The 7672-nt window shown below is 40.1% G+C and overlaps 1 annotated feature.

Annotated features, from left to right (window-relative positions):
- Positions 7020-7220: a silencer, noted in NCBI's record as "peak3940 fragment used in MPRA reporter construct". NCBI's record gives its function as "represses an SCP1 promoter by STARR-seq MPRAs in K562 erythroleukemia cells {active_cell/tissue: K562}" and the evidence as "EXISTENCE:reporter gene assay evidence [ECO:0000049][PMID:32103011]".

The following is a 7672-nucleotide window of genomic DNA, read 5'->3' on the forward strand; positions in this document are numbered from 1 at the left end:
TTTTTCCTAATTTAAACATAATTGTCCATATTTTATAATGTATTTTAATAGACAAATAAACTAAAATAATATGAATTAAAAATAAATCATGAAGTTCCAGCATTTATGACTCAACGTAAAGCTTCTTTATAGTATCTTATCAAAAAATGGGTTTTCCAAACCTCAAGGAAAGAGCCTGTTTACAGAGAGCATATTTTCATTGCTTTATTTCCTTTAAGTAGATACCACAGTGCAATACAATGCATATTTTATGCACCTGTGACTAAAAAGGCCTATTGAAAATGGAGACTGCAATAAGTGCACTTTGATATTGCATAGCAACTCTCATTTTAACAACGATGCAGTTTTTATATATATATATACTTCAAGTTCTAGGGTACCTGCACACAACGTGAAGGTTTCATACATAGATATACACGTGCCATGTTGGTTTGCTGCACCCATCAACTCATCATTTACATTAGGTATTTCTCCTAATGCTATCCCTCCCCCAGCCCCCCACCCCCTGACAGGCCCTGGTGTATGATGTTCCCTGCCCTGTGTCCAAGTGATCTCATTGTTCAATTCCCACCTATGAGTGAGAACAAATGATGCAGTATTTTAATATTGGCATAACTGCTAATCTAATATCAAAAACACCTTTCTCTTGGCATCAAGAAATTTACAAGTACATGTCTTTGCCTTCTAAGAGCTTACATAGTATAGTTAGAAATCCAACAATGATTGATTCTCTCCTTCATGATAAGAATTTACTTCCACAAACATTTATTGCGTACTTATTAGGAGCAAGGTATTGTGCTAAGTGCAGAGGAACAAATGTGAATGACAGCATACCTTCTCATAATCAATAGACTAAGGCTGGTAAGTCAGTGACTACGAGGCAAGGTAGTACAGATATAATGAAGGCAACCACTCTGCTGGGCTTTACGATTATTGAAGGCAGGTAACATGTCTGATCTTTGTAACTCCAGAACACTCTGACACCTAGCACAGTGTTTTGCATATAGTTAGTGTGCAATAAGTATATACTGAATTAATTAACAACATGTGAGATACATTAGTAAAACATCTTCTTGGTAATTAAGTGACTTTCATGTTTCCTACTGCTTCCTCTTCCCATCACTCCAGTTCTCTTTTCCCTAGTTCTCACAACTTGTGGGATAGCCGTGCTTTCCTTTTCTACAACATAGCAGCTGAGCAACGTAATAATTGATGCTTGATGATTTTCTATTCCCTGGATAGAACAGCTATTCTCTATGCTGTTAAGGCTTGAAATTCATGAGATGGATGTAATAAAACAACAAAAAGTACACAACAAAATAGTAGTGACAGGCATTCTGCTAGGCACCATACATTCATTATCTAATTTGATTCTTAAAATAACTCTCGTTATTTCTATTTTCAGTACAGAGATCTTGCACAGAAAAGTAGCTTGCTTCAGGTCACAGGGCTGGTAAGTAGTAGAGCTCAAATTTGAATCCAGAACTCTTTGACATCCGACTTCCTGTTCTGAATGACTGCACTATATGGTCTCTTTATTTAGGTTGCTTAGGGGCAATTTGAATTAGTAATGGAAACATTTTCCTGGAAGAGATGGTCTACTTCATCTGAAAATACTATGAATAAAAAATTTTAATGCATAAGATACACTTAAGGTTTTAGAATTATTTTATGAATACAGAAAAATAGTTTACAGAAGTACAAAAGAATCAACAACAGATAATGCTTTTTAGCAACGTATTTCTTTTAAAAATAAGAAACTAAGAAGTTTGATTTCTTTAATAACCAGAACACCTTAAAATGTATTTTCAGATGCTCAGCAGACCCCAAAAGACTCCCCCAGTCCTGGACTGCAGTGCAGTCTGCTGTGGAATGCTTAGCAGCTTTGTTTTCCCGACTAGACTCATTAGCAGCGCCAGGTGGTAATAACTATCCAACTGATTTGTAGTAGTAAAAAAATCTGCCTGAGGTCACCATGGACTCTTTCCCCCATTCTTTGCTTCATCTCTGACCTGATACGCTTTTGCAAAATAATTATGCATGGCAGGAAGTTGCCATACAACAGAGAAGGATTGTTGTGTCCTGGGATTATATGGGATCTCAGATCAAATAGGTTTTGTTGTGTGAAGAATAAATTGGAAAACATGGTTTTCCCAAGCATAGCACAGTAAAATTTATTTCTTGCCTTTTCTTCTTTCCTGTTTATTTCACCATTAAAGACCCAGTAAAGAAAATTATTCACCAATTTGGGGAATGTTATCATTAGTGTTTAGCATCAGCACAATTATGTAGATTCAAGAAACAAAAATAGCTCCAGGGTCTGTCCAAGTTAACTCAAATAAAAGAGTGGATATTTTAAAATTGACTTTTTTTTTTGACACGTTATACATTGTTGTTCATCAGGTAAAAATATAAAGTAGTGCACGAAAGCAATAAGCACTTAACCATTCTTTATCTAGGAGGAATCTTCAGTTAGCTAAATTTTGTTCATGCTTTTTTTTTCATTAAATAGAGAAACATAAGGGTAAATAATTGTGAGGCTATGTTTTAAAAAGTAACTTTCCACTATCTTCCAAAGAAAATATAGTCAAACTCCTAAATCTGCATTCTCCAGTATAGTAGCCATCAGCCACATGTGGCTATAAAGCATCTGAAATGTGATTAGTTCAAATTGAGATATGCTTATGTGTAAAATACATAGTAGATTTCAGAAATGGAATGTGAATAAAATAGAATATAAAATAGTTCATTAAAAAGTATTATATTGGCTGGGCATGGTGGCTCACTCCTCTAATCCCAGCACTTTGGGAGGCCAAGGCCGGTGGATTACCTGAGGTCAGGAATTCAAGACCAGCCTGGCCAACATGGTGAAACCCCATATCTACTAAAAATACAAAAATTAGCTGGACGTGGTAGCACACGCCTGTAATCCCAGCCACTTGGGAGGCTGAGGCAGGAGAATCGCTTGAACCGGGAGGCAGAGGTTGCAGTGAGCCAAGATCGCGCCACTGCACTCTAGCCTGGGCAACAAAAGCGAATATCTGTCTCAAAACAAACAAACAAAGTATTATATTAATTGCAGGTTGTAAAGATAACATTTTGGATACGTTGGGTTCAATAAGACATATTATTAAAATTAATTTACCTGTTTCTTGTTACTTTTAAAAACGAGGCTATTAGAAAATTTCAAATTACATGTATGACTCATATTTTGTTTCCCTTGTACAGCAATATCCTAGGGTTTTACTTTGTGACATCATTGCTTCTCGAGAACCAACTGACCACGAACAGCAACAAGGTCTTCAATCAGAATTAAAACTCAATTCAAAACACTTTCGAAGAGCATTTGGAGATACATATTAAGAGACTGCAGTGTCTAAACTTTTAGAAGTAAAAATGCCATTTCTAGTCCTATGTCCTACAAATTCCATTTCTAGGTATATACCCAAGAAAAATGAAAATGTATGTCCACATAGAAACTTCTGCAAAAATGTTTCTACTAGCATTATTCATAATAGTAATGTGTGGAAACAACCCAAATGTCCATCAACAGACAAATGGATAAACAAAATGTAGTATATATCCCTACAGTGAAATATTATTTGCCTATAAAAGGGAATGAAGTATTGAAGGCTACAATGTGGATGAGCCTTGGAAACATTATACTAAGTGAAAGAAGTTAGTTACATAAGACCACATATTACATGATTCTATTAATATAAAACATCCACAACAGGGAAATCTATGGAGACAGAATGCAGACTATTGGTAGGGGTGGTGGGAAGGGGAGAAAAGGGTAGGGAAGTGATAGCTAAAGAGTACTGGGTTTCTTTTGGAGATAATAAAAATGTTTCAAAATTGACTTTGGTGATGGTTTCATGTATCTGTGAATACACAAAAAACACATATAATTATACTGTAAAAATGGGTGAATTATGTGGTGAGTGAATAATACTCAACAAATCTCTTCAAAAATAATTATATTTATGGGAAATCAAAGTTGAGAAAATGATCCAAAATAAACCAGAAAACTCCTTTCGTGCACAGTGTTGCACAATGCTGCCTTATGTATAATAGTGAAAAATTAAAAACAACCCAAACGACCAAATAGGTGTGTGGCTAAATAATGTATGGTATAGCCTCATCATGGAATGCAGATATTAAAATGCTTCATGTAGGCAAAGTCTTATAAAAAGTTGTAGTAATGTGTATGGAATTGGTGGGTTCTTGGTCTCACTGACTTAAAGAATGAAGCTACGGACCCTTGCGGTGAGTGTTACAGTTCTTAAAGATAGTGTGTCCGGAGTTTCTTCCTTCTGGTGGGTTCGTGGTCTTGGTGGCTTCAGGAGTGAAGGTGCAGACCTTCGTGGTATTACAGCTCATAAAGCCAGTGCAGATACAAAGAGTGAGCAGCAGCAAGATTTATTGCAAAGAGCAAAAGAACCAAGCTTCCACAGTGTGGAAAGGGACCCCACCAGGTCGTTGCTGGAGCTCTGACAGCCTGCTTTTATTGCCTTATCTGACCCCACCCACATCCTGCTGATTGGTCCATTTTACAGAGAGCTGATTGGTCCGTTTTGACAGGGTGCTGATTGGCGCATTTACAAACCTTTAGCTAGACACAAAAGTTCTCCAAGTCCCCACTAGATGAGCTAGACACAGAGCACTGATTGGTGCATTTACAAATCTTGAGCTAGACAGAGTGCTGACTGGTGCATATACAATCCTCTGGCTAGACAGAAAAGTTCTCCAAGTCCCCACCAGATTAGCTAGATACAGAGTGCTGATTGGCGAATCCACAAACCCGGAGCTAGACACAGAGTGCTGATTGGCTCATACACAACCCTCCAGCTAGACACAAAAGTTCTCCAAGTCCCCACCCGACTCAGGAGCTCAGCTGGCTTCGCCTAGTGGATCCCGCGCTGGGGCGGCAGGCGAGCTGCCCGCCAGTCCCGCTCCGCGCACCCGCACTCCTCAGCCCTTGGGCGGTCGATGGGACCGGGTGCTGCAGAGCAGGGGGCGGCGCCCGTAGGGGAGGATCGGGCTCGGGCGGCGCGGGAGCCCATGGGGGGCGGGGCTTGGGCATGGCGGGCTGCAGGTCCCCAGCCCTGCCCCGCGGGGAGGCGGCTGAGGCCCCGCGAGAATTCGAGCGCAGCGCGGGCGGGCCGGTAGTGCTGGGTATCCCAGCCCACCCTCCGCAGCTGCTAGCCCGAGTGCTAAGACTCTCACAGCCCGGGGCTGGCGGCGCCAGCCCGCCGCTTCGAGTGCGGATCCTGCCCAGCCCGCACCCACCCGGAACTCGCGCTGGCGCGCGAGCGCGGCGCGCAGCTTGGGTTCCTGCCGGCGCCTCTCCCTCCACACCTCACCTCAAACAGAGGGAGCCGGCTCCGGTCTCGGCCAGCCCAGAGAGGGCCTCCCATAGTGCAGCGGCGGGCTGAAGGTCTCCTCAAGCGCTGCCAGAGTGGGCGTCGAGGCTGAGGAGACACCGAGAGCGAGTGAGGGCTGCAAGCATGCTGTCACCTCTCAGTAATTTGAGAAAATTTCTGTTTTCTATGGGTAAGTGAAACAAAAAAGCTGTGATATTTATTATTTGCATACTACCATAACTGTAAAAAAAGTCTAGAAAAAAAACTAGAAGGAAATACTGACCCCAAAATAATAGTGTTTGTGTTGTGTGCTATGTGAGAAATTTTCATCTTTACATGTCTTTATTTTCCATGTCTTCTATAATTAAGCTTTTTTTCATAAAATACATTTTGTTTAAAAATCCATATATAGGCTATTTTTTTAAAAGTCAATGTTTACAGTTATATTGCCAAGAAGGGAGAGTAGACTAATATATTTTTTATAAAATTCAAAATCAGAGTTGGAACAAGGCTAGAATTTGTTTGAAATCTTCAACAAAGCTTGACTTAACCAAAACATTGTTAGTATTCCATCCATTAATTTAGCACCACTGTCCTTAGTACAAGAACATGAAGACAATTCAACAAACTGAGGTGATAATGAAATTACCTGAAAGAAGGCATTGCATGTTATTTTACTCTGTTGAGACCAAGTCCAAATTCCAGCATTTTCAGCTTCTCTGAAATTTTCTTTTCTTCCTGTACCTAAAGTCTAGAAAGAAGAAAGTTCCTTACTCCCGTATGTGCACCTTTCTAACTCTGCTCTCTTTCTGCTGCTGATTTTTGATATATTTACAAACATGTTCAAATCTCTCCTCTTTACTATGGAAAACTTTCCTTGCCCCTGCTACTCTGTTGCCACTTCAGGTTCTCATCTCTTTTCTTCTCCTCATTTTCCAAGACCTCCATGTTCTTACCCCCTTGGAAATCCCGATGATATTGCTACGGACCCTCGTAAAATGGCGTTCCAGAATATTTCTTCTTATCTGCTTTCACCAAACCCAGTGCAGTAGGATTCTAGATGACTAGCGTTCTCCCTCCTTCAGGCAGTTGCCTCTGCCCTCAGTTACTCAGTTGCCTACTAACTTTTTACCCAACTTTCAGGCCCAACTGGTAACCACTTGTTGCTAGAGCTTTTTCAGATTCTGGCTGGCAAAAATGCTCTGACTCTGTGATACGTGAGTGAAGGGCATGGATGGGTCTTCTTCACCTTGTTCCTACTTAGTGGAATGTTTTTCAAAGACTAGCTAATGTTCCAGTGCCCACAGTATTGGAGGGGCTGACAAGACAAAGGGATGTTGACCTTTTTCATCTGCTTCTGGGGGTGTTGAAGAATTTCTCACGTCATTTGAGAATCTTATTCTTGAAATCGAATTTTAGAGTCGGAAAGAGCAGGTCTAAACTTCTCATTTATCCGTGATGAAACCAAGGGCCAGTGGCACAGAGGCCAGTGAGAGAGTTGGTTATTCTGGTTCAAGAGAACCAGAACTAAAATTTAGGCCATCTGGCTCCAAAGACAAGTTACTTTTCCCTGCTTATCTTGTGCTTCCGTTGCCTAAAAGTTGCAGATTTTTTTGTGTCCTTTTGTATCTTTCACCCTAATAGCAATAAAAGCAATTTACTGTGGACACTACTGCCCTCCCTGGTCTGTGCACTCAGAATTTCCCTTTGAAAATCACTTCATTGGATATTCCATTGAATATTTCATGTGTACAGATACATTGACTAGCTGTTTTGGTTTGTCTGGAACTGAGAGTTTTCCTAGGACTTATGTTGCTAAATGAAACTTAAGAGTCTCAGACAAACCAGGACTTTTGGTCACCCTGGTATCGGGGATGCTACTAAGGACTTTAATATATTTTATATGATTCACATGACAGCCCTGTGAAGAAGTATTCCCATTCCCATTTTACAGGTAAGGAAAACTGAGGCTCAAAGAGGTTAAATTATTTGTCCAAGGACATGTGCCTTCTAAGTGGCAGAGTCAAGATTAAGCCCTAGATGTGTTTAAGCTCATAATCTTTCCACTACAATGTAGAAATGTGGGTGCTTTACACTGTTAAAATCTGCACAGGGAAAGATAACCCTGTGAAATACTTAGTTTAAAAATTGGTTTGTTATAGGCTAGTTTCTTTGAGGTCTTGCTAATTTGCGTGAGTGACACATAAGGAGAAGAAAAGCAGCTGCTTAAAATGCATAAATTATTTGAAACTGATAATGAACCAGGTAAAACTTAAATTACTCAATCCATTTAGTTTTCCTTTCTT

Source organism: Homo sapiens, chromosome 2 (assembly GCF_000001405.40).
Source record: "Homo sapiens chromosome 2, GRCh38.p14 Primary Assembly".
In the NCBI taxonomy this organism is placed as follows: domain Eukaryota; kingdom Metazoa; phylum Chordata; class Mammalia; order Primates; family Hominidae; genus Homo; species Homo sapiens.